The sequence below is a fragment of the Homo sapiens genome, chromosome 10 (genome assembly GCF_000001405.40).
Source record: "Homo sapiens chromosome 10, GRCh38.p14 Primary Assembly".
In the NCBI taxonomy this organism is placed as follows: Eukaryota; Metazoa; Chordata; class Mammalia; order Primates; family Hominidae; genus Homo; species Homo sapiens.
This window is the reverse complement of record NC_000010.11, coordinates 94,402,065-94,429,947: the sequence shown is the minus strand read 5'-3', so window position 1 is coordinate 94,429,947 and position 27,883 is coordinate 94,402,065. Positions and strand designations below refer to the sequence as shown.

Genomic DNA, 27,883 nt, shown 5'->3' with positions numbered 1-27,883 from the left:
CCTGGGCAACATGGCAAAACCCCATCTCTACAAACAAAATGCAAAAATTAGGCAGGCGTGGTGGCACGCACCTGAAGCCCCAGCTACTTGGCAGGCTGAAGCGGGAGGATCACTTGAGCCCAGGAGGTCAAGGCTGCAGTAACACAAGATCGTACCACTGCACTCTAGCCTGAGTGACAGAGCAAGAACCTGTCTCAAAAAAAAAAGTGGAGGGGATAGAATCAATTGAAAGAGTAAAATCAGTTTTAAAAATTAGAAATCATAACAGAGGGGAAGTTGGATGGCTGAAAACATAAAAACTTCCTGGACTTTAATTTCCCCAAAGAATAAAAAGCCATAAAGAAAACATTATCTAGTGACCATGGAATGCCACAGCTGACTACATAATTAATTCAAAGAAGTATAACTACTGTCTCTAAACTCAGTACTTTGGTTACCCTTGAGTATTCTGGATTAAAGATCTGGCACAAAGATTACTAACATTCTTTACAAGCCTCAATCATTTTTCACTTGGAAAAAACTTTCAGCTGACTATATGCAAAAAAAGTAGGGTTTTTTGCCAGATAACTTAGGCTTTTTTAATTCCAAGAATTTTCTTTTTCAAGCTGTTTTTGGATCTTGTCTTTGTTATTACAAATCCTAAAAATTAAAAAAAAAGTAGAGAATTTTTATTCAATAAACATTACTTAACTAACCAGATATTTTCTGAGATCAGAGCTATCAAAAAGGGAAATTCAACATCACCCACTCTGTCAAAACAAGAGAAATTACAAGGCTGAAAGGCTACAATTTTTCAAGTAATAAATAATATTTTAGAGCTTCTAGGGACCTTAGAAAATATCCGTAACATTGGAGAGTGTTCAGAGAAAAAGAAAATTAAAAATTAAATTAAAAAAAAAAAAGACTATCCAGGTCAGAGTTCTTTATTAAGAGTCAATCAACCTGCTGAGCATGATGACTCACGTCTGTAATGCCAGCACTTTGAGAGTCCAAGGCGGGAGGATCACTTGCATCTAGGAGTTCAAGACCAGTCTGGGCAACATAGCGAAACCCCGTCTCTACAAAAAAAAATCAGCCAGGCATGGTGGCATGCATCTGTAGTCCCAGCTACTCAGAAGGCTGAAGCGGGAGGATCACGTAAGCCTGCGAAGTCAAGGCTGTAGTGAGCCTGATGGCACCACTGCACTCCAGCCTGGGCAACAGTGAGATTTTTGTCTCAAAAAAAAGTCAATGAACCTACACAAATGGGCCACAGGTTGTCTACAAGCATTCTCAAATTGTGTGCACAATCCAGTAATGAGGTCAGGTAAGAAAAAAATATTGTCTGCACAATTTTAAGTAAATGATGTACTTACAGGCCAGGCATGGTGGCTTACACCTGTAATTCCAGCACTTTGGGAGGCTGAATGAAGCAGGTGGATCACTTGACCTCAGGAACTGGAGATTACCCTGTCTAACATGGCAAAACCCCATTTCCACAAAAAGTATAAAAATTAGCCAGGCATGGTGGCATGCGTCTATAGTCCCAGTTACTCGAGAGGTTGAGGTGGGAGGCTCACTTGAGCCCAGGAGGTTGAGGATGCAGCAAGCTGTGATTGTGCCACTGCACTCCAGCCTGGGAAACACAGTGAGACCCTGTCTTAAAAAAAAAAAAAAAAAAAAAAAGAAGTTCCAAACATTTCTCTTGGCCAGCTTTCATCAAATTCTCCTAGGATTCAATACACCAACCTACCACTTCCAAGACAGACTGATGACCCCACAGAGTCTTTGCCAAGGTCACACTACTAAGTGTTTGAAACAGGTCTCTCTTGCATAGTTGCTTTTCTTTTTAATCACATTCATATTGTTCATGTCCTCCATACAACAATCAAGATGTAAGAGCTTCACAACTAATCCCTAATCTTTTCCATCCTACACATTGCCAAAATGCCTTCATTTTAAACAATTCAAATATACAAATTTATTTTCTTATCCTTCCAGAATACAGTCCAAGTGTACTCATGTTAGCAAGTCACCTTATGTCTTATTTCTTATGGTAAATAAATTACAGGCAATGCCTTACTGATAGAGGTCTTCTTTCTTTTCTTTCCTTTTTTTTTTTTTTTTTTTTTTTTGTGAGACAGGGTCTCACTTTGTCACCCAGGCTGGAGTGCAATGGCACAATCTTGACTCACTGCAACCTCCGCCTCCCAGGTACAAGCAATTCTCCTGCCTCAGCCTCCTAAGTAGCTGGAATTACAGGCATGCACCACCACACCCGGCTAATTTTTGTATTTTTATTGGAGACAGGGTTTCGCCATGTTGGCCAGGCTAGTCTCAAACTCCTGGCCTTAAGTGATCCACCTGCCTCGGCCTCCCAAAGTGCTGGGATTACAGATGTGAGACACCATGCCCAGCTGAGATCTTTTTCTTCTTTTGCAGCAGGAGAGAACAAAATAGAATACATTTAATGATAAAAGAAAAAAGTAATTATAAAAAGTCTTGCTTTTGAGCTGCATACTTATTACATCATGCATGACATGTTTTATAAATAAAGTCTCTGTTGCTTTAGGACCAATGGTAGTATCTAAGATATTCAAAGGGAAGTTAGAAACCACCAGAAGAAAAGAGGAAGGATATAGAAAAGAACTTTTAGGATAAGCACACAAGCGGTAATAAGGAAAAACATCAGCAGAACATGGGCAAAATATTTGTCACCAGAAGGTAAGATACCTTTTAACATAGGAGAAAGGTGGGAAAGACAGGCAAGATGACTGATGAGGAATGATAAATGAAACTAACCATATGTGTAAATACCTTTCCATTTATGCCTATTGTATAAATACAACAGAAACTAACAGTGTTTTTGTTTACAGTAAGAGTAAAATACCTTCATATGTATTTCATCTTTATAATAGGTACAGGGTTTCTTTTGGGGATGACAGAAATGTTCTAAAATTGATTAGGGTGATAGTTGCACAACTCTGTGAATGTGCTGAAAACTATCAAATTGTACACTTTAAAGGGGCAAGTTGTGTGGTATTTTAATTATGTCTCAATAACACTGTTAAAATATTTAAATAAAAAAAATCAGGCCACCTGTGGTGGCTCACACCTGTAATCCCAGCACTTTGCAAGGCCGAAGTGGGTGGATCAAGAGGTCAGGAGTTCAAGGTCAGCCTGGCCAAGATGGTGAAACTCTGTCTCTACTAAAAATACAAAAAATTAGCCGGGTGTGGTGGCGAGCGCCTGTAATCCCAGCTACTCGGGAGGCTGAGGCAGAGAATTGCTTGAACCTGGGAGGCAGAGGTTGCAGTGAGCCGAGATCGTTACCACTGCACTCCAGCCTGGGTGACAAAGTGAGACTGTGTCTCAAAAAAATATACAAAAATAAAAATAAAATCTGACAATATGTAAAAGGAAAAACAACAAGACCAAGTGGGGTTTATCCTGGGAATACAAGGCTCATTCAACACTTGAAAGTCATTGATGAATCCAATTTTATTCACAGTCTAAATGAGAAAAACCCACACAATTACATCAATGGACACAGAAAAGTCATTTGGCAATACTAATAAAATAAAAAATCCAAAGAAAACTATGAATAAAAGGGAAGTTCATTAGCTTAATTAAAGGCATCTACCAAAACATAAAGATAAAAAATAATTTTAAAAACCCTACAGCTAACATCATACTTAATGATGGTGAAACATTAAATGTTTCCCCTGAGAATGGAAACCAGATAATGATGTCCACTTTTGCCATTCCCTTTCAAAATCATACTGAAAGCCCTAGCCAATGCAATAAGACAAGAAAAATTAAGTTAAAAGTCTCAAAGAGTAGAAAGGAAAAAATAAAATGTTCTCTTATTTGCAGACAGCATGACTGTCTACAGTCACCTCATAGAATCTACAAAAAAGTTCCTAGTAAGTTAAGCAGGATTACAAGATAAAAGGCAAGCACACAAAAATCAATCATATTTCTCTGAATTAGTAATGAATAGTTAGAAAGTGAAATTTTTAAGAAGTATCATTTATAATAACACAAAAAACTAAATATTTAATTATAAATTTAACAAAATATTACAGGATGTGTATGCTGAAAATGTCAAAACATTGATGAAGGAAATAAAAAATGACCCAAATAAATGGCTAGATATACTGTGCTGAAGAACTGAAAGATTCAACATCATAAAGATGTCAATGCTCCCTAAGTTAATTAACAAGAATTATCTGTAAATAAAAACAAGTTGATTCTAAAATCAATATGGAAAGCCAAAGGAAATAAAATAGCCAAAGCAATTTTGCAAATTTAATTAGCTGTCTTCTGCATTAAAATGTGAGCTCTTACTAGTTGGTTGAGTTGTAGAACAAAAAAAAACGTGAGTTCTATGATGTCTCCACTGCATTACAGTGTGAGCTCCAAATTTATTATTGTAACTTCAGTGCTGCGACTTCACACAACAAATGAAAGTCAGCTAATTTCAGAGAAATTAATTGAACATGATACATGTAACCTTCACAATGCCCTGCACTCACTGAATATTTTCTTTTTTAAACTGACATAGAACAAAATTGACCATTTTTCTTTTGGTGTATAGTTCTACAAGTTTTATCACATGTATAGATTTGTGTAACTACTATCACAATTGAAGTATAGAACACTCCCAATTCAGGTATAGAACACTTCCATCACGCCAAAAAAACTCCCTCATTTTGCATCCACTGAAGTACAGAGAAAGCAAACAAAAAACTCCCCATGCTATCTCTTTACAGTCACACCCTCTACTAACCCCGGAAATGAACTTGAAGATGGACTTGCAAACCAGAGGTAGTGCCAGAGGAGTAATTCTTGCTTGCCCCATGCAGTGATTCCCTATAATTTTATGTTGCCTTGGCATCAGTTTTTAAATATAAGTTTAACTTTCTCATACTAGAAGCAGGGCTCAGTCATCCTTGACAGTTTCCAGTTCTACACCTTTTCCCATTTCCTCAAGGTGGACCTCCTGTTGATCACCTCCCTATGGGACAGCTGAATACAACCTACTTACCTGGCCCCATTGACTGCCAAACCCTGCGTGAATTGTGCAGACATGCCACAGTGACCTTCTAGAACTCTTACCAGTTTACTTTAAACCCATTAATTAGAATTCCCCCACAGGAAATCTGCTTCGATATGCCCTGGATGCCAATAAAAGCTTTGGCCCATGGGTCCCCTCTATCCTTCCCAGCACTGACCCATCTCCATGTGGCCTTCAGACATGCCAGGTACTCCCAGGGCCTGTAATGAAATCCTTATTCCATTTTGTGTCTCTTTCTGTTGCTGAAGGGCTATTCTTTATTTTCAAAGAATTTAAAACACTCCATCTCATGCTCCCTGAGCTAGTATCACAGCACAGTGTTTCAATTTATGTTTCCATCACTGGTTTCAACAGAAAGGCCTTATTCTAGCTCCTTCTTTCGTTGGAATATAGGTGGTGCTCAAATATGCTTACTGAATGAACGAGGGGAGAATTTAGACAAACACAGGAGAGAGGAAGAAAATGACAGATAAGCCATTACAACTAGAAAACACTACCAAGTATAAGCAGAAAATAACAGAATATTTCACTTCCTTGTCCCCAAATCCTCAGTAACTCCCTACTATTTATGGAAGAGTTTTAATTATTTACCCTAGCATTAAAAGCTCTCCACAATGGGGACACAAATTATCTTTACAATATTATTTCCTACTACTCTCTTTCTACAACTAGGAAAAATATACAGTTGTCCTTTGGTATCTGTGGGGGACTGATTCCAGGACTTCCCTCAGATACCAAAGTTCTCAGATGTTCAAGTCCCTTATATAAACTGGTGCACTATTTGCATATAACCTATACACATCTTCTTGTATACTTTAAATCATCTTAGATTAATTATAATACCTAATGCAATGTAAATGCTATGTAAATAGTTATATTTTTTAGGGAATAACAAGAAAAAAGTCTGTTCATGTTCAGTACAGACTAAATATTTTTTCTGGACATTTATGATCCTAGGTTGGTTGAATCCATAGATGTGGAACCCACAGACAGAAAGGGTCATCTGACTGTATGTGGTTTTGGCATGCCTACAACCTACTCCCACTCTGCCATTCCTTCTCTGAAACAGTAGCCCAGAGTGGCTATTTTTGTAGTTTATGATCCGGGCCCTCAGTCAGAGCTGATTTAACTGTACCACTGATAAAACAGAGAAAAATTCATACACAGGCTAAGACAAGCAGACCCCCCAAGTTTTTTAATAGAAGCCTTAGAGATTGAGAAAGTTAAAAAATGGTGAATGAGGCCAGGCACAGTGGCTCACACCTGTAATCCCAGCACTTTGGGAGGCTGAGGCAGGCAGACCACCTGAGGTCAGGAGTTCGAGACCAGCCTGGCCAACATGGCGAAACCCCATCTCTACTAAAAGTAAAAAAATTAGCCGGGCGTGGTAGCGGGCACCTGTAATCCCAGCTACTCAGGAGGCTGAGGCAGGAGAATCACTTGAACCTGGGAGGCGGAGGTTGCAGTGAGCCAAGATCGTGCCACTGCACTCCAGCCTGGGCAACAAGAGTGAGACTCCATCTCAAAAAAAAAAAAAAAAAAAAAAGATGGTGAATGCTTGAACTGATAATTCGTGTAGAGCTGGTACAGCTTCACAGAGCCTTTGTAGGTAGAAAGCATGCATTGAACAATCAGGAGGCAGAAAAGAGCTGAAAAACCAAGCATCTCTTGGAAGGCAGAAAAACCACTGTTCCTGGCACTCTGTGATCCAGGTATAGTTTATTTTCTTATTTTACTTATTTTCTTTTTTTGCTTTATCTTTTTCTCTCTGCTTCTCTTTCTTTCTTTCAAGACAGGGCCTCATTCTGTCACCCAGGCTAGAGTGCACTGGCGTGATCATGGCTCACTGCAGCATCAAACTGCTGAGCTCAAATGATCCTCCTGCCTCAGACTCCTGTGTAGCTGGGGCTACAGGCTTGAGCCACAGTGCCCAGCCTAGTTTATTTTTTATCTTCAAAATGCCCACAAGATGCCTATTATATGCTAACAATAAATTCTACTTTATTTAAGGTAGCTTAGCCAGGTGTGGTGGCTCACACCTGTAATCCCAACAACTTGGGAGGCTGAGACAGGAGGATTGCTTGAGGCCAGGAGTTCAAAACCAGCCAGGACAACATACTGAAACACCCATCTCTAAAAAAAACAGCAAAGAAAATAGCCAAGCACGGTACCTGTAGTCCCCACTACTCAAAAGGCTAAGGCAAGAAGACTGCTTGAGCGCAGGAGTTTGAGGTTGCAGTGAGCTATGGTCACGCCACTGCACTCCAGCCTGGCTATGGAGCAAGACTCTATCTCTTAAAAATTAATAAACAAACTGTTTCCTGATAGGAGTCCAGAAAAAGAAGAAAAAATAAATAAGGTAGCTTAAGTAGGCTTCTGTTCCTTAAAACTACATGAACCCAGCCGGGCGTGGTGGCTCACGCCTGTAATTCCAGCACTTTAGGAGGCTGAGGCAGGCAGATCACGAGGTCAGGAGATTGAGACCATCCTGGCCAACATGGTGAAACCCTGTCTCTACTAAAAATACAAAAATTGGCTGGGTGTGGTGGCACACACCTGTAGTCTCAGCTACTTGGGAGGCTGAGGCACGAGAATTGCTTGAACCCGGGAGGCGGAGGTTGCAGTTAGCTGAGATCGCGACACTGCATTCCAGCCTGGTGACACAGCGAGACTCTGACTCAAAAAAAAAAAAAAAAAAAAAAACTACATGAACCCTAAGATATCAGCTAAACTCTGTACTCTTCAATACATTCTATACTTTCCTGCCTGTGCTACAGATAGCTAAATACACATCTTATTTCCCCTATTAAAATACAAACTAAACTGGTTACACAAACTTAGAACTGTATATACATAAAATTTAAAACGTTGTCTACTTTTGTGCATCAAATGGTACTACCAAGAAGGTTTAATGACACCCATAGGAGAAAATAATTGCAAATCATTTATCTGATAAGGGTCTAGAATCCAAAATAGGTAAAGAACTCAAATAATTTAACAACAAAAACACACACAGCCCAATTAATATTAGGCAAAGGATTTGAATAAACATTTTTGCAAAGATGGTATACAAATGGGCAACAACAACATGAATAAATGCTCAGCATCATTAGTTGTTAGAAAATGCAAACCAAAATCACAAAGAAATACTATTACAAACCCATTAGGATGGCTGTAATTTTTTTTTCTGAAAGAAAATAACAAGAACATAGAGAAACTGGAACCCTCATTCATTGCTAGTGGGAATGTAAAATGCTGCAGCTTTTAGAAAACAGTTTGGCAGTTCCTCAATGAGTTAAACACAGAATTATCCTATAACCCAACAATTTCACTAATGGGCATAATATCCAAAAGAATTAAAAACCAGTGCTCAGGGAATATGCCAAAAGGAACTACACTCTCATGTTCAAATGCAGCATTATTCACAATGGTCAAGATATGGAAACAACCCAAGTGTCCATCAATGGATGAATGCATTTTAAAATGCATATGTACACGATGGAATATATTCAGCATTTTTAAATTAGGAAATTCTGTCATTTGTGACAACATGGATGAACAGAGAGAACATTATGTTAAGTGAAATTAGCCATGCACAGACAGACAAATACCACATGATCTCACTTATATTTGGAATCTAAAAAAGTCAGACTAATAGCAGTAGAGAGTAGAATAGTGGTTACCAGAGGCCAGGGGGTGGTCACAGGGGGAACCAGGTGGAGGTGGGTGGAGGAGAGTGAAAGGGAAAAGGGGAAATATTGGTCAATGGGTACAAAATGGGTTTCAGTTAGATAGGAGGAATAAGTTTTGGTGTTCTACTGCATAGCACAGTGACTATAGTTAATAATAATATATATTTCAAAACAGCTAAAAGAGGGTTTTCTAATGTTCTCAGGACAAATCAATGATACATGTTTGAGTTTATGATATGCTAATTAGACTGATTTGATTATTCCACAATGCATACATGTATCAAAACTTCACATTGTGCCCCATAAATATACATTCGTCAATTAAAAATAAAACTTGAAAGAAAAAAGTGTTCAAACAAAAACTTGTACACAAATGATACTAGCAGCACTATCCATAACAACCAAAAGACGGAAACCACCCAAATGTCCACCAGTGGATAAATGGATGAACAAAACGGTATATCCAAGCAATGGACTATTACGCAACCATAAAAAGTAATGCTGTACTGAGGCATGCTACAATATAAATGAACCTTAAAAACATGCAAAGTGAAAGAAGCCAGACATAAACGGTGACAAACTATATGACTCCCTTTATATGAAATATCCAGACTGAGCAAATGCACAGAGACCAAAAACAGATTGCTGGGTTGGAGACAAGGCAGGATGGAAGTGACTGCTTAGTGAGTACAGAGCTTCTTTTTGGGGTAATGAAATGTTCTAGAATTAGATAGTGGTGCTAGCTGTACAACATGGTGAATGTACTGAATGTCACTAATGGTAAATTTTATGTCATATGCATGTCTTAGCTCACGTTGCTATAACAAAATATCATCGACTTGGTAGCTTGAACAACAGACATTTGTATCTCAACGTTCTGGAGATGGAGAAGTCTAAGATCAAGGTCCCAGCAAATTTGGTGTCTGGTGAGGAGTCTCTTCTGTTTTCAGACAGCTACCTTTCTGCTGTGTGCTCATATAGCAGCAGGGCAGAAAAAGGGAAGCAAGCTCTCCAGGGCCTCTTCTTATAAGGGTGTTAATCCCATCATTAGAGTCCCACCCTGATGAACTCATTTAAACCTAATTACCTCAAAGATACCACCTCCAAATATCATTACTGGGGATTAGGCCTTCAGCACATGAATTTTGGAGGGACACAAACATTCGGTCCACAGCAATATATTCCACTGCGATAAAAAAATTTAACAGATTTATAAAACTGAACTTCTAGTTATCAGTTCTTAAAATATGGTTGCCAGCATTCATCAACAGATTAACTGCTTGCTTCTTTCAGTAGGAGTAAGTATCCCAAACCAAAAGCCATATCTAAACCACACATTTTGGTAAAATAAAAACTACTTAGAGGAGATTCACTTTTTTCTTTGTGGCTCTGTTTGGTATTAAATGTATTAAATAGAAAACTAAATTACACTGGTTAAGGCTTTTTAAACAAAATACAAAAATGACTGTTCCTATCAAAAGCTGTTTATTCTATATGAGCTGCTTCTAAGTTTGTCTTTTTTTTCCCTGAGACAGAGTCTTGCTCTGTCGCCCAGGCTAGAGTGCAGTGGCGCAATCTCGGCTCACTGCAACTTCTGCCTCCCGGATTCATGGAATTCTCCTGCCTCAGTCTCCCGAGAAGCTGGGATTACAGGCGCCACCACGTCCAGCTAATTTTTCTATTTTTAGTAGAGACGGGGTTTCACCATGTTGGCCAGGCTGGTCTGGAACTCCTGACCTCATGATCCACCCACCTGGGCTTCCCAAAGTGGTAAGATTACAGGCGTAAGCCACCGCACCCGGCCTTTTAAGTTTTATTGAATCTAAAATGCAGGTTAATGTTAAAAACTTCACGATGATAAACAAATGTTATTTAGTATGGAATCATACTAAATAACCTATATACTTAATATACTTTAATATACATTAAATAACCCGTATATGTAACACATTTAATAGTAAATGTACAAATCCTTAAGAATAAATAAAAGATGTATGTGTTTGCTATCAAAAAAATGGCTGGGAGGCCAGGCGCGGTGACTCACGCCTGTAATCCCAGCACTTCGGGAGGCCGAGGCCGGTGGATCACGAGGTCAGGAGATCAAGACTATTCTCGCCAACATGGTGAAACCCCATCTCTACTAAAAATACAAAAAATAGCTGGGCGTGGTGGCGTGCACCTGTAGTCCCAGCTACTCGGGAGGCTGAGGCAGGAGAATCACTTGAACCAAGGAGGTGGATGTTGCAGTGAGCCGAGATCGCGCCACTGCACTCCAGTCTGGGCAACAGAGCGAGACTCTGCCTCGAAAAAAAAAGAAAAAAAAAAGGCTGGGCACAGTGGCTCAGCCTCTAATCCCAGCACTTTGGGAGGCTGATGCGGGTGGATCACTTGAGGTCAGGCGTTCAAGACCAGCCTGACCAACATGGCGAAACCTCACCTCTACTAGAAATACCAAAAGTTAGCCTGGCACAGTGGCATGTGACTGTAATCCCAGCTACTCGGGAGGCTGAGGCAGGAGAATCACTTGAACCCGGGAGGCAGAGGTTGCAGTGAGCCGAGACTGCACCAGTGCATTCCAGTCTGGGTGACAGAGTGAGACTGTCTCAAAAATAATATAATAATAATAATAATAATAATAATAGACCAAAGTATAAAAGATTGAAGGCGAAAAACAGACATATCTAGTTCTACAGAAATTGAGAATAATCTGTTAGGCTGATAAGAAAACCTAAAGAAGGTATTTTCTTCAAAACTAGCAATAGCATTAAGGCAATAGTTATAAAACAAAATTCAGCACTTTCTTTATATTACAACATTTCAGTTACAGATGCTGTAATCTGGATTTTCTTAAAAGCTGCGCAGCTGCCACAAGTATTTTACCAAAATCTATATGTTTAGGTAGTTACTCCTTTAAACATGGACTGTTTTGCCAGCACATGGGTAACTAAAGATTGTTGGGCTTTGTGAGAATTAATAGAGCTAGATTTACTTGGAGATAACCAAATTCAAGCGTGGCAGGGCCCAAGTTTCTGGTTTTATTATCCTTCAATTTAATCTATATCTCTACACAGAGGTAAAAAAATGAACAAGAACATGGTCTCTGTCTCTGGAGGCTTTGCCATTTAGTAGAAGAGACATACATGGGCCGGGCGCGGTGGCTCACGTCTGTAATCTCCGCACTTTGGGAGACCGAGGTGGGCGGATCACGAGGTCAGGAGATCAAGACCATCCTGGCTAACACGGTGAAACCCCACCTCTACTAAAAACTCAAAAAAAAATAATTAGGCAGCCGTGGTGGCGGGCGCCTGTAGTCCAGCTACTCGGGAGGCGTGAGGCAGGAGAATGGCGTGAACCCGGGAGGTGGAGCTTGCAGTGAGCCAAGACTGCGCCACTGCACTCCAGCCTGGGCGACAGAGCGAGACTCCGTAGCAAAAAAAAAAAAAAAAGAAGAAGAGACACATATACATAGAGGTAATTATGGAAGTCTCAATTTTTTTTAATCTCTTTCAATCCTCAAAAATGGCTGATAAGTATACTGTCCCAGTCCACTTTTATAAAGCAATGTACAGAACTTTTACACTAGATGTGAAACCTTGATTTTGCAACAATTTTACACCTCCAGGGTTTTTCCTGAGGTTGTTTCCTTTCTGATCCGCAACATCAAAACATGTAGCCAAATAGCTATTCTGGCTCTTTTCCCATCCTCATTAAATTCCTTACAAAATATGGTAAGCATAATTTTTCACATGACTCTATTTTCATATCATCTCAATTCCTTCAAAAACAAAAATCCAGTTCAAAGTTTATTTTCCTTAAAGCTTCACAAAAAGGCTACTGGTATGTCTCACTCAACTTATTAACCACCCCTTCTTGCAGAGATTGAAAGATTTATCTAGTTATTTACTTTTTTTCTCTAATCCAATATTACTGGTTTAAAAAATGTTATTTACATCAACTATCTGTATATCACATTGTGAAAAGGAGACTGACAAACACCCATAAACTACCATAACTATCTCCATGCTCCAGTTTCTCAAGTTGCAAATCATCTGCCACACCGCTATGCAAGTCACCGTTCCGAAATGTAGTTCTAAGTATGTCTCCATTGTTTAAAAAACCCACAAATGTTCCCTGTACTGCCACCTCTCACTGAATCAGTTCAAATTACTTAGTTCTGTCAGACAAATTTAGCTCCCCCATAATTTAGACCCAACCTTTTTGCCTCAGTTTTTGACACATACCTCATGCACCCTAGAGGCAATCATCCAGATGAGAATCTGCAGTCCCAAAAAGTGCTGAGCTATTTTATATATAATTCTATATATATGTTATTTTTACTTGTCCTGTCATCACACTCATTCTAACCCAAACCCTCTTCTTTAGTAAAATACTAAGCTTTCATGTTTCATCTACTGTAAAGTTCCTAACTTCCTGTCTCAAAGTTAATCACCCCTTCCTCAGTACTGATGCATCCTCATATCCTCTTTTATAACACTTATCAGGTAATATTGTAAACATTGATATTATAGGACTCCCTTATCTGAAACTTTTTAAATAAAATGTTCTGTTTACCTAATATCCTATGTGCCTAGTATACATAGAGGACTCACAATAATTTGCTGAATGAATAAATAGTAAGAAAATTCCAAACTAATTAATAAGAACTAAAAAGGGTTCTGTAGCAATCTTAAATGTCTGAAGGGTAATCATGTAAATGAATTGAATTGTATTTTGTGGCTCTAGGGGGGAAATTGGGACTATGAACATTACAATGAACTACACTGTACTTCAACATAGAACCTTCTAACAACTAATACCCTCAATAGGCTCTGTTGAGAAAACCAAGCTCCAAATTAGTAAAAGAATTCAAGCAAGACTAAATAACATCTATCAGATGTCTAAACCTTCTGAGAATAAAAAGCACACACTTAGCTGTATGGTAGTTGCTGGTGCTTTGCTTTGTTGACATTTTGCTCATGTCTGACGTAGAAGTACATCCTGAACTGATGATATGCATGATAGAACCTTTCTTCCAGTAGCACAGGTGAAACCCAGATCCTGACCAAGGTAATTGTATTTTTTTTCCCTACATAGTGTTATGTTTCTATTAAATGGACAACTAAATCAAAAGTTTATGTTCCAGTGGTGTTGTGGAAGAGCAATACAATCTTATCTACTCATTAAAATAAGTGGCTAGTTATTATTTTACTCAAGAAAATTTTATAGTGGTTATCTCCTAAAATTTTCCCTTCATGCAGTATAGTTCTCAGCTGTGTTATTTGTACACCCAGTTTTGAAAGTAAATCCTTATTCTAGTATTTTTGACAGTATTACTGTGCTTCTGGGAGTATATTACAAAGATGGGCATTATCCTCCAGTTATTTGTTCAATTAGTGTGCTAGTTACCTTATATGATAATTACCTATCAAAAGTTTTATTAGTCTTTTTTTTGAGACAGTCTCGCTCTGTCGCCCAGGCTGGAGTGCCCAGGCTGGAGTGCAGTGGTGCCATCTCAGCTCACTGCAAGCTCCACCTCCTGGGTTCACACCATTCTCCTGCCTCAGCCTCCCGAGTAGCTGGGACTACAGGCACCCGCCACCATGCCCAGCTAGTTTTTTTGTATTTTTACTAGAGACGGGGTTTCACCGTGTTAGCCAGGATGGTCTCGATCTCCTGACCTCGTGATCCGCCTGCCTCGGCCTCCCAAAGTGCTGGGATTGCAGGCATGAGCCACCGGGCCTGGCTAGTTTTATTAGTCTTTAACTCAAAAATTTTGGTGACCAAAACAGAATTCTGAACCACAAGTCCTTTGTTTTCTAAATAACATTCAAGGATTACCAATCTCTATAACTCTGGGTAGTACCAATAACGTTAAAAAGTCAATGAGGGGTTGGGGGAGTTAAGGCTTATGTAAGTACAAAAAAGCAACTTAAATGTTATCACTCTTCAAAAATACAGAAACTACTTATTCAGTTGGGATGTTTTCCTTATTTAAAACTTCAATAACTTACTTTAGAACTTAAATTTCTATGTACTATATCTTCCTGGTAATGAACCATGAATTTTTTCCATGTGGGTAAGAGGGACTTTAATTCCATTTGCTAGATTTACCCTGGTACTTGTAGGAAAAATTTTCCTTTCCTTTTAGCACTGGAACTCAAATAAGAATACAGTGTGTACAACTGTATATTGCATTTATTTTACCTTTTGATAAATGTACATTTTAGTACCTGAAACTATCATACTAACAACCTAAACTTTTAGAGCCTAAATTAAACTTTATATGTACAACCTGTTATTAAAAAATAGTTCAGTTTGCCTGTAATCCCAGCACTTTGGGAGGCCGCAGTGGGCGGATCACTTCAGGTCAGGAGTTCGAGACCGCCCTGGCCAACATGGTGAAGCCCCATCTCTACTAAAAATACAAAAAATTAGCTGGGCGTGAGGTGCACGCCTGTAATCCCAGCTACTCCAGAGGCTGAGATGGGAGAATCGCTGGAACCTGGGAAGCGGAGGTGGCAGAGAGCCGAGATCGCACCACTGTACTCCAGACCGAGAGACAGAGCGAGACTCCGTCTCAAAAAAAAAAAAAAAAAGTTTCACAGTATGGCCTATTGAGAAGCCACTGGGAGACAGGGACGTTAGGGAAGTTAAGGAGAGATATACAAGATACTTTAAAGACACAAGTGGCTAGAAACATCCACAAAGGCACTGAGGTATGCCAAGTAGAAAAATTAGAAAAATATGGAAATAATCTGTGGTAATACTCTGAAACCAACAGGCCTAAGAACTAACTACATGGCTAACTTCTACCTAACATTTATTCTCTCCAGCAATTTCTCTCTCTACGAATATCTTCAAACTCATTCTCTAATAGTTTCTCGTACTATACTTCCTTCCAAACTCTCAAATTTTCTTTATCATCTTCTTACCACCTTAACAAGAATAACGTGGAAACAATGTATTATCTTTACCATACTTTCTTCCAAACCCTCAAATCTTCTTTATCATCTTCTTACCACCTTAACAAGAATAACGTGGAAACAATGTATTATCTTTAGCTTTATTTTATATTCCTTCTCCTGCTTTTCAAAAGCAAATAATGTGAACATTTTATGTTTTTCTAAAAAAAAAGTAAACTATTATAGTATTTGAATGAATTTTTCCTGAGACAACAACAAAAGAAGTATTTGCCCTACTTGACTAAAAGATGGCTACGAACAGTCTAGATGAAAACCAGATTTGGAAATTCTAAATAATGCCTAACGTATGATGGGTAGTTGTACATTACAGTACTTGGGAAAATATGAGAAAACAGCACATAATTTGATTTCAAAATTATTATGTTCAGTTCCAAATTTAAAATGTTTTAATCTATGTGGGGTTAGAGACAAGCAGATGGAAATATTTTTTAACAAAAAAAGTATCTAACATAAAATTCAAATTAAAAAAAAAAAACCTGAAAAGCCAAATTCAAAGATGAGTTAAACACCTTATCAAGTTCACTCTCAAACTAGCTCTAAGTAAGAAGCATGACTTGTAGCTTGATTTCCTAAGGTAAACTTCTCTTAATTGCAGGAAAGAGCATGCTGAAAACCCAGACAGTCACATGGGTTTCCCTCTCTTTCTTATTTTGGCCACAGAAATAAGAAGCATAAGAAAGGCTGAAGCAGCAAATGTTGGAGGGGAGAAAACCATGTGCAGTGTGCAGGATTTCTTCTTAAAGGCACGGAAAAGAATTACAAATAGCAGCAGAAGGAAGGAAAAATAACACTTTTTTCATAGGCTATAAGAAAGGTAAAGGTATGCCAACAAACTGAGTAGACCTGAGGAAAATCTTACAAGTTAAAGCTTTTCACAAGACAGGCAAGCATGGCTATCTAAACAGCATAAAATGAAAATAAAAGATTTTTCCCATTAATAAAAAGGAAGCCAAGAATGAATTTGTCCGAAATAATTTCTCATCCAAGTAAAGGCTAGCAAAGTACTTAAAGATTTGTATTTTGAATCTGTTCTCTATTATACACCTCTGTTTATACTCATCAATTACATAGTACCTGAATATGACCCAATTTTAAATCAGTAAAGCAATGTGAGCTATAAAGGTGTGTTGTACTTTCAGTCACTACCTGAGGAGACCTGCCTATTAACCAGCCCAGTATTTCAGTGGTTATAGTCGGGGAATCGCCTGCATCAGAATCACCTGGGGGTCTTTTTAAAAAGTTGGATTCCTGGTGGACCCCACCCAGGATCTACTTGGGTCTCAAGGAATCTGCATTCTTAACAACCCTCCCCCTTCCAAGTAATTTTAAACACTAAATTTAAGAATCACTGTAGTAGGGTCCAAGCAACTATCAGCCATAACTATCTGAAGATAACTCATAGTGTAGCTAACAGAGTTCCTAGGGAGAAAAAAGCTGTCTCAAAAAGGACACACTTTGCCTTTCTGCATACATTTAGAGATGGATAACAGATGTATCGTCTCAAAATCTCCAAATGTTTCCACTCTTTCCCAAAACCTTCCTACCACAACATACTAAGTATGAAATGCATGAGTAAGCCAAGTTAAACATTTCATGGACTTAAACTAAAAAATTGGCTTTGCCTGTCTATAAAAGTTCCTTAAGACAATAAAAGATACAAATATTTTAATCTTTCTCAGCATTCCTTTCGGTTCCTTCTCAGATTTGCTTTTTAGTCAAAGCTTCAAGACTTCGGGAAATGTCATATCACTACATCAGAATCTATTTTAACATCCATCCAATCCCATGTATAAATTATGTTTAAAAATCTTCTTCTGCACAAATTGTGTAACGTTTCCCCAGACAGGACACAAAAATTCATCCAGTATCTTCCTTTCTTCAAATCAGTGGATTTCAGTGGTGAAGCTGAGGAAGGTGTTATAGTAGTCTTGCTACTGTCTGAATAATAACATTTGAATCTTCACTATATGCCACATAGTTAAAACAAAGAATGTAAAATATTATTTAACCCTCATGGCAATCCCATGAATTAGGCATTATTATTATCCCCATTTTATGGATGAGTTGCCTAAGATCCAGAGAAGTCCAGAATTAAAGAGCTAGTAAGCTAATTCAAACCCAAGCAGCCTAACTTTAGAACCAGCATTTTTAAGCACCATACCATCCTGTAATTTGAAGATGCCACCTAGGATTAAGCAATTCACTAAAACCTAGTTGACAATCTGAATCAACTGTGAGCAATTTTCTCTTTTTTTTTGGAGACAGTCTCACTCTGCCATCCAGGCAGGAAGGCAGTGGTGTGACCATAGCTCACTGCAGCCCCGACCTCGCTGGCTCAAGTGATCCTCCCACTTCAGCCTCCCGAGTAACTGTGGCTACAGGTGCACACAACCATGCCCAGCTAGTTTTTTTATTTTTTGAAGAGACAGCCTCTCACTATGTTGCCTAGGCAGCCTTGAACTCCTTGGCTGAAGCAGTCCCCCCACCTTGGGCTCCGAATGCAGGCATGAGCCACTGGGCCCAACCACGCAACTTTCTAAAAATGCAAATTCACCAGCCAAATAATAGGTCTCCTGAATCTGACTAGGCGGAGGCTGTGAATTAGAGAATCTAATTTTTTAAATGTGTTTTTAGGTGATTTTTAAATTTTTTTAAATAAAATGAGATGGGGTCTTGCTATGCTGCCCAGGCTGGAACTCCTGGCCTCAAGCAAATCTCCTGCCTCAGCTTCCCAACGTGCTGGGATTGCAGGCATGAGCCACTATATCTGGGTGCTTTCAGGTGATTTTGAATATACCAAAAGCTACAAACAACTGCACTAGTTCATCAAAGTGCTACAGTGGCAACCTTCATGAAATAACTCATGGTCTGGAAGTTAAAGGCTTAAATTCCAGTTAATTGATTAACTAAAATGTACTTATTACCCCATTCTCTCTCTCACTACTCCTCCCCACCTCAAAGAAATAAGAAAAAATAGATCTAGAATTTGCTACAGAAAAGAAAGAAGAGCTGATGCACTGTGCCATCTTCACATGAAAAACTAAACAAAGATCACTGATATTTCTATCATGATTACCCTAAGGCAGAGTTAGACCTTTGCTAAAAGAAACATTAAAGGTGGAATTTAGAGTTGAAAGGAATAGTCCTATCTCTGGCATGCCTCTCATTTTACAGAGGGAAAAAAAAATTCTGTTTTTTTTCAGCTTTCTCTTTAACTCAGTTCACATTTGTAGTATTTAACCAGTAAATATTTGTGGTCCACTACTGTGTGTGCAACAGAATTGTGTATTATAATACCATGATATTAGAACTGAAGGGACTCTGAATCTCCCAATTTCATAGATAAGGAAACCGAAGTCCAGAAATTTAGTGATTTGTCCAAGGTAACAGAATTATTTAATGGCAGAAGTTGTTACCTAGGACAAAAACCAAGTTACTTATCTCTCAGGCATTGTATTTTCACTACACCAAAAGCTAAGTTTTTGCTCTTAAATTTATAATTCATAGAAATCAGTGTATTAGCTTCAAGCCCTAGGAACAGATCTACAGTCTAGTTGTAATTCTTACATTAATTAGCTATCTGACTTTGGACAAATAACTGTAAAATAAAAATAAACCCTACCCTTCCTAGGTCACAGTAATATGTCAAGAACAACAACCAAAAAAAAACTGTGGCTGGGCACGATGGCTCACACCTGCAATCCCAGCACTTTGGGAGGCAGAGGTGAGCAGATCACCTGAGCTCAGGAGTTCGACACCAGCCTGGGCAACATGGTGAGACCTCATCTCTGAAACAAAAGAAAAGAAAAAAAACACATATGAAAATAATTTTAGAAAACTGTGAAATTATGTAGAACTAAGATACACTTTCATATTTTTTCCCAGAGGCAAACAGGTACTGGTTTTTAAATCTTGTAAATACTGCCCCTAAATAGTGTGCAGTGAAAAGCTTTGAATATCATTGTTCTAGGTTAAACAATGAGTTACCATGCATAACTCATTTCCAATATTAAATTAATACCATCTTGTTAGATCATATCTAGCAAATAAAAGATTATTTATCTGTCAACAGCATCATTGGCTTTCCATGGAGTATTAAGGCATGAATAAGGTGATCATAGAAGTTCCTTCCACTTAAAAGATCTAAAAACTTAAAAGTAAAAACTTTCACTTAAAAGTAACACAACCACTCCCCAAATAAAAACCTTTTAGTCAAAATCTCTATAATGAATAAAATGTGAAGTTTAATTAATAACATTGTACAAATGTTAGTTCCTTAGTTGTGACAAATGTACCATAAATATAAGGTGATGTTAACCAAAGGGGAACTGGGGGAGGGGTGTGGAAACTCTTGGTATTACCTTTGCAACTTTTCTACAAATCTAAAACTATTTAAAAATAAAAGATTTTAAAAATTAAAAATTAATCTCTATGGCCATTTTGGATAATGTAGAGATTTCTATCAAACAAGTAACTCCAAGTTAGTATTATAATAATAGTCTGCTTTGCTTACAAGTGTGTAGTAAAAAATGTTAATTTGGCCAGATGCGTAGCTCATGCCTATAATCCTAGCACTTTAAAAGGCCAAAGCGGGCAGATCACTTGAGCCCAGGAGTTTGAGACCAATCTGAGAAACATGGCAAAACCCTGTCTCTATAAAAAATACAAAACAAAATTAGCAGGTCGTAGTGGTGCATGCCTGTAGTCTCAGCTACTTGGGAGGCTGAGCTGAAAGGATCAATTGAGCCCAGGAGTCTGAGGCTGCAGTGAGCCGTGCCACCGCATTCCAAGCCTGGATGACAGAATGAGATCCTGTCTCAAAAAAAAAAAAAAAAAAAAGTTAATTTAATTTAGCACTTCAAAGTAATATGTTTGAGTGCTTAAATTATCTTACTTCCACAAAAATCAGAGTTTCTGAATACGTTCTACCTAATTTGTATTCAGGTTATCACATCTCTAATCTGCCAGCTGAATGAAAGCCACAAATTCCTAAGTTGAAGTCCTGAACCAATGCTGGATTTCCGGTGCTTTAGTGTAGGTCCCTAGAGTGTTGTTTTTTGGGGGGTTTTTAAAAGAAAATACGGGATCTGAGGTAGGGGAAGGAGTGACACACAGGGAAAAGATATAAAAGGCTCTTGAGCTAGCTCCCCAATTTAACATAATGGTAGCTTCACAACATTCTAAAATCCTAATAGACTTTTGTGTTTATTCTAGAGCAATTAATTACGTATTATTTTCAGTTTTCCTAAAATTTTAAACATTAATTATAGTAGCACAGTTGATCCTGAACAAAACAGGTTTGAATTCAATAGATTCTTCCTTCATTCTCCTTGTAAATAATTATATCAGAGTATTAAAAAGCTGCCCACTTTGGGGAGCTTTTAAAATCTTTTAAAACATCAGAAGTTTCATATTTTGCCTTTTCTTTAGTGATTTGAGAAAGGAATTTTTTTTGAGAAACTCACTTTGAAACTGTCGTTTTTTATTTTAGTTGACTGGTGGAGGCACTATGGAACAAGTAAGGGAGACTTATAGGACAGAGATGTTTATGATGGCTCAGTCAGATGGATGAATTATGATTTTGTCAACTAGCACAAATTCTAGGTGGAAAAAAGGACGTGGCTGACTTTGTTGTTTCTGAGAACCTTAAATTAAGAAAAAACTATACCTATAGGAATTTAGATTTTTCCATGTCATATTTAATAAAAACAAAAAAACTTCATTGGTTTTCATATTAGGGAGAATGGAGACTATCTAGATGTAAAAAGAAATCACTAAAAGAGCCTTTAGTTTTTCCTACTCAACCCAACCATTGTAAAAAGAGCTCTGTGAAAATAGCTTTTGCCACAATATTTAGGAAGTTTCAGAAGTCAACAACTACAGAGAAAGCCACATGGATCTGTATGTTTCAAAATCTATAAAGTCAATTTTCTTTTCAGATAAAGGGAAAAAAATCTCCAATTATTCCTTCCCTACCTTAGCAATGCCCTTTATTCACCAAATTCATATAAAGACTTGGGAAAAAAAATCAGCACTACCAGGAAACACAGATAAGTGTCTATGTTTTTAAAAACAGTAACTATGCCAATGCAATCCTAACAAGCTTCAAAACTATTAAATGGCCTAAAAACAAACAAACAGAAAACTATGAAAGAGTCTATCTATGTAAAAAATAAACCATTCTACTTAGAAAACAAGACATGAATTTACTTGAAGAACCCACAAAAACGGTTTAGAACTTTTTTTAAGAGACATGGTCTCACTCTGTCACCCAGGCTAGAGTGCAGTGACTCAATCATGGCTCACTGCAGCCTTGAACTCTTGGACTCAGGCAATCCTCCTGTTTCAGCCTCCAGAGTAGCTGGGACTACAGGCATACGCTACCATGCCCAGCTTAGAACTATTTTTTAAAAAGAGTAACAAATGGATCTTTGGGGAATTAAGGCAAGCTTGGAAACACAAAAGACTTCAAAAAAGCTTTCACTCCTCCTTACTGCTGAGTGGTACCCATCTAGCATTTCAACTTTTTTTTTTTTTTGAGACGGAATCTGTCACCCAGGCTGGAGTGCAGTGCCACGATCTCAGCTCACTGCAACCTCCCCCCAGGGTTCTAGCAATTCTCCTACCTCAGCCTCCTTAGTAGCTGGGATTACAGGCACCCACCACCACGCCCAGCTAATTTTTTTGTATTTGTAGTAGAGACAGGGTTTCGCCACATTGGCCAGGCTGGTCTCGAACTCTTGACCTCAGGTGATCCACCCGCCTCAGCCTCCCAAAGTGTTGGGATTACAGGCGTGAGCCACTGCGCCCAGCTGCATTTCAATTTTTATAGACAGGAAAGGGTCAAGGATCTGAGGGAATGTTACTTTTAGGGCTCTGACAGCCAAGTCACCATAAACACAGAAAGGTGTCCATGTGAAGCTGAAGCAAGCCCCCAGTAGGGACTGAAATAGAACTCACCTCATGTGGAAGGGAAGGAAAGTGGGAGATGACCACTAAGGCCCTCCAAATGAAAGCAGTCATATTCTAAATGAATTCCTGTTTTTCCTATATATCTACCAAAATGATGTGTCTTAACATAATACTATGTAGTAATAGATACATTGTGTAAAATGCTCCCCCCTCTTTACTTAAGTAAACATAAAACTGTTTTTTTTTTAAGGTTTCTCGTATAGATTTTTGCCTAATTAAGGGAAAGAGAAGAACGAAGTGGGAAGGGAAGAAGAAGGAAAGCATGGAGGATAAATAGGTGGGAGAGAAAAGAGCCATAAAGTGAACAAAGGTTGTAGACTGAACATAAACATGGATTGGGAAATCAGGAATCCTGGTTTCAAATCCCAGCATGCCACTAGCTAACTAAATTACCTTCTTTAGACAATGAGATTCCTCATCTAAAAAAATGAAGTGGGAGTAAGGGTTGCACCCAAGAACAAGATTCCATCCCAAACAAGCCACTTCCAAAGAGAGCCCTCACCTGGAGCTTCAGAGTTGAGAATAGCAACTATGCATTTAGGGGTAGGGTTGGATCTCTTGGGTTGTGTTGTGAGACAGGGGTAATTTCTGATTATTTTCACTGAGGATGGAGATTCTGCTCAAAATTACACTACCTAGCTAGAGCACAGTAAAAGGGAATCCATGAAAGCTACCTATTCAACCCAATCTGAATGGTGTTCTTCATACCAGTGGCTAGGTATTATAGATTCAGAGATGAATGTCACAGTTCCTGCCTTTAAGGTGTTCAGAATTCATTTAAGAAAAACTGTGCCTCTCTGACTCTGCCCTTTCTTTCCCAAGAATGTCATATAAAGGAAGCACTGACTCCTAGAGTCTTGACATTCAGACCTCTATCAGGAAAAATGAGGCTTAGAGAAATTAACTTTAGGGCACCTGTTTTCTGACTTCAAATCCAGTGCTCTGACACATATGAATAATGTGGCCATATGAATGTCATCTAGCTATATTAAGTTCTATTAGTCTATAAGTAAAAAAAATTTACAAATTAAATCAAAATTCCTGCCTACTTAAAACACATGGGAAATGAAAGAAAAAATAAAATTCCTGCCTACTGTTAATAATATGAAAGCCTCCTATAAATAACATTGTTGGCTGGGGCAGTGGTTCACACCTGTAATCCCAGCACTTTGAGAGGCTGAGGCGGGTGGATCACCTGAGGTCAGGAGTTCAAGACCAGCCTGGCCAACATGGTGAAACCTGGTCTCTACCAAAAATACAAAAATTAGCCAGGCGTGGTGGCGGGTGCCTGTAATCCCAGCTACTTGGGAGGCTGAGGCAGGAGAATCACTTGAACCCAGGGGGGCAGAGGTTGCAGTGAGCCAAGATGGCACCACTTCACTCCAGCCTGGGCAAAAGAGGGAAACTCCATCTCAAAAAAAAAAAAAAATGTTCAGAAATTGCAATGTATATATATGCATCTGTCTTCAAACTTAATCCCCATTAGCCTGCACCCCACCTGCAGGTAAGGGACAGTTTTCTAAATCATCTCTATTCACAATGCATGGCAGAGAGCAAGAACTCAAGAGTATACTAGTTGAATTTGTTATCTCCAAAGCCCCTCCCAGATCTAAAATTGCCTGACATCTGACCTCAAAACATGACCAAGATAGATATGACCAACAAACACCCAAAGGCCACACAGTGTCACAAATTTATAAACCTAACTCACCTTGAGATCTTTTAGAATACTGCCAGTACAAGCTTTAAATATATTTTTGCAACTATATTACAAATACAGATGTCATTACTACATATATTGTCCTGAGTAACAAAAAATTAGGATTTTCCACTTTTGATTTAAGAAACTTTATATTTGTAAATTTATACAAGCAAAAAAATAAGGATAAACTAGAAAGAGGAATAAGAAATATCAATTATAATCAGAAAATTGTGCCTTTATGTCTACAATATGTACGCTAATTGTATAACCTGCTAAAACTTGAGCTAAGAATTTGCTTCTTTCACTTCTGGTTATAGTCAAGATCCCCGAAAAGGTAGAAAAACAAAGTAGGGAGAACTCTGTAAAGGAAAGTTTTACAAGTTGGGAATATTTTCCTATTTGCCTGGGGACTTAAGAAAAAAGAAGAAGAAGAAGAAGAAAAAGGCGTGTCAAAATCTAACTCAAGGAAAACTGCCTTTTTTTTTTTTTTTTTGAGAGAAGTCTAGCTCTTATTCCCCAGGTTTCAGTGCAATGGCTCGATCTCAGCTCACAGCAACCTCCGCCTTCTGGGTTCAAACGATTCTCTTGCCTCTGCCTCCCAAGTAGCTGGGATTAAGTCGCCTGCCAACATGCCCGGCTAATTTTTGTATATTTTAGTAGAGACGGGGTTTCACCATGTTGGCCAGGCTGGTCTCGAACTCTGACCTCAGGTGATCCACCCACCTCGGCCTCCCAAAGTGCTGGGATTACAGGACTGCTCTTACAGTAAGGTGTATTAAGTATTTTCTGACTACTCTTATTTATCCCTATTAAATCAACAAACCTCCATCCTGAAATCTGCGAAGTCCAGCACCATAATTTAATTTCTTTCTTTTCTTTTTTTTTTTTTTTGAAAGACGGAGTTTCGCTCTTGTCCCCCAGGCTGGAGTGCAATGGCACGATCTAGGTTCACTGCAACCTCTACCTCCCAGGTTCAAGTGATTCTCCTGCCTCAGCATCCCGAGTAGCTGGGATTACAAGCACCTGCCACCACGCCTGGCTAATTTTTGTATTTTTAGTAGAAACCGGGTTTCACCACATTGGCCAGGCTGGTCTCGAACCCCTGACCTCAAATAGTCCGCCCGCCTCAGCCTCCCAAAGTGCTGGAATTACAGGCGTGAGCCACCGCGCCCGGCCCATAATTTAATTTCAAGAATATCCTGTCAAATCACAAATACAATACCATTTTTTAAAAAAACTAAAGTTATTGGGGAAAAAAAGGAGAGGCTTATCTGGGAGATTAGAAAAAAGGCTTTCCTTAGTAAAAGCCCTACTTTGGCTTAAAAAGTTGGGATAAAATTCTAAACACCAAACTGCATTTTAATAAAGACCACTGAAACAAACGATTAAACACTATGAAGCACAACCACTTCTAATTTCAAGAATTCCCAAACCACTTGAATGGATTTAGACGCTATGCAAGCACAGCAAATAAACAGCTCTACAAAATGACTTCCTTCTCTCTTTCACAACCACACCCGTACACACATACCGCCTCCCCTCACCACCCCCCCAACAACCTAAATGTTTGTAGTAAAATTTTTAAAAATTGGAGACGGAGATGGTTATCTGCTTTTCCAGAAAAGGCAACTGCATATGTGGCACTAGACAGCTGGCCCAACCTGACTGCTCAGAAGCCAGGTATGAATGGCAGGTACAGCCTCCCGCGGACAAGGCAACAGAAAGACTCGCTGTCCACAGAGCTCACAACTTCTCCTATAGAAACACAAAGCCGACCCAGTTCCTCTTCCTCCAGTGACAAATCAAAGCTAAGTCCTGACGCGTGTGGGGCTGGCACGGAAGCGGCCGACCAAGCTCTCCGCTCCGGCTCCGGCTCCGGCTCCGACTCCCACCAAGACCCCGGCTCCGGCCCCGGCCCCGGACCCGCCCCGAGTCCCATGCAGCCTGCGCTGTACCTGGTGAAGAAGTCCGCGAAGCCGCCACTCCGTCGAGCCCGGGCCGAAGCCCCCGCAGGACCCTGCTCCGCGGCGGGCAAGGGCACCGGCGGCCCCGCCGGGGGCAGGTGATCGCGGGCGCTCTGACCGCGGCTCACCTGGAACGTGTTGCGAGAGTTGAAGTGAATGTCAGAAAAGCCCAGGCGCGGCTCCGCACCCCCATTAGTCCTCTCGGCCGAGGTGGCAGGGGGCGCGCCCTCCTCGGGACCCCCGGCGCCGACTCCCCGCTGCTCTGAGTCCTCGCTACTGCTGCAGCTGCTGGCGGGGCTGTCCCCCGAGTCGCTGCCCGCGCCCTCGGGCTCCTGGGCGTCCGCGGCCACCAGGCAGCAGCTCCGCAGCGGGTCCTCAAGCGGAGAGGCCCAATCGGACGGGCTTCCCGCGCCGTCCGCGTCCTCGTCGCCAGGCCCCTCCAGGCGAAGGCGGCCGTAGGGGCGGCGGCGGCGCGACTCCCGGCCGCCGGCGCGCGCCAGCCCGCGAGCCTCTTCCAGATCGCGACAGTCCCGGCCCGGCAGAAAACCCGAGTCGCCGTTGGTCATGCCTTCGTGCCGCGGCGCGCGGCCATCAGCCACCTCCGCGCCGCGGTGTTTGGAGCCCGAGCCCAGCAGGCAGGCGTCCGATCGTGGGGCTGCCGAGGGCGGCGGGGCGCCGGCCTGGCCAGCGGGGAGCGGACAGTAGCAGAGCCCCGGCTCCAGCTGCTCCCCGGCCGCCGCGAGGTAACGCTGAAGGAGCTGCCGAGGCGGCGTCTCCTCCTCCTCGTCAGCCTCCTCCTCCTCGTCAGCCTCCTCCGGCGGCTCCACAGCGCCGACGCCTCCGCCAAAGCCGCCCGTGGCCCGGATTACCTTCCTGTCCTGGCCCACGGGGTCCGGCGCAGGCACCGGGAGCAACTTGGGGTTTCTTCCCGAGCAGGCTCCGGCATCCTCCGGACCCACCATCTGGGGGTGGGTGGCGGCCGCCCCAGGAGGCAAAGAAGGACTACAGGCGCAGGCTTGGCCAGAGAACAGCTCTGGGTGCTGGGGCCGCGGCGACAGCCGCCGCAACGTTCCCAGACCCACCCCTCCCACCCGCTGGGTCGGACAGTTGCTTGAGGGCGGGCACGCGCCAGGACTCGCGCACGCGCAAAAGTCGGACCGGTCAAGCCCCGACCTGGAGATTCCCCGAACCATAGAGACGGTAGCTAGAGAGACGCAGGCTGCCAATCTAGGATCCGCCATCTGGATGGTGGAAGCTGGTTGGCCCGCTCTAAGCGTGACAGTTCTTACCGAAGCGCGGGTATTGCTCGCTTAGCAAAAATTCACTTGATGTATTTCATTTATGGTAGTAAAATACTCCCATATTTGGGAGGTGTTAGCGTGGGTAAGTCCTTCCAGCTCTAATTGGTCACCAGTCGACTTTACGATTTTTACATCCTTCTCCGGCATCATTGCCACAGTTCAGGGCTTCATCACTTCATCCAGGAGGGTCAACACCCTCCCTTCTTCACT

At 40.5% G+C, this 27,883-nt stretch overlaps 1 protein-coding gene across 6 annotated transcripts in view, besides 4 other annotated features; it reads right to left on the bottom strand.

Moving 5' to 3' along the window:
- Window positions 1-27,407, bottom strand: part of TBC1D12 (TBC1 domain family member 12) — a 133,792-nt gene extending 106,385 nt beyond the window's left edge. For 5 of the 6 annotated variants that reach the window (XR_945637.3, NM_015188.2, XM_006717732.5 and 2 more), the window contains exon 1: window positions 26,364-27,407. Coding sequence is in view for 5 of the 6 variants with exons in the window: in NM_015188.2 (NP_056003.1) it covers window positions 26,364-27,334 (971 nt within the window). In the remaining variant the exon portion in view is untranslated. The remainder of the gene's footprint in view (window positions 1-26,363) is intronic. The other variant, XM_011539558.4, reaches the window with a different exon arrangement.
- Window positions 25,900-26,199: an enhancer, noted in NCBI's record as "active region_3790". NCBI's record gives its function as "activates an Ori minimal core promoter by ATAC-STARR-seq in GM12878 lymphoblastoid cells {active_cell/tissue: GM12878}" and the evidence as "EXISTENCE:reporter gene assay evidence [ECO:0000049][PMID:35858748]".
- Window positions 26,280-26,609: a silencer, noted in NCBI's record as "silent region_2635". NCBI's record gives its function as "represses an Ori minimal core promoter by ATAC-STARR-seq in GM12878 lymphoblastoid cells {active_cell/tissue: GM12878}" and the evidence as "EXISTENCE:reporter gene assay evidence [ECO:0000049][PMID:35858748]".
- Window positions 26,680-27,169: a silencer, noted in NCBI's record as "silent region_2634". NCBI's record gives its function as "represses an Ori minimal core promoter by ATAC-STARR-seq in GM12878 lymphoblastoid cells {active_cell/tissue: GM12878}" and the evidence as "EXISTENCE:reporter gene assay evidence [ECO:0000049][PMID:35858748]".
- Window positions 27,500-27,659: an enhancer, noted in NCBI's record as "active region_3789". NCBI's record gives its function as "activates an Ori minimal core promoter by ATAC-STARR-seq in GM12878 lymphoblastoid cells {active_cell/tissue: GM12878}" and the evidence as "EXISTENCE:reporter gene assay evidence [ECO:0000049][PMID:35858748]".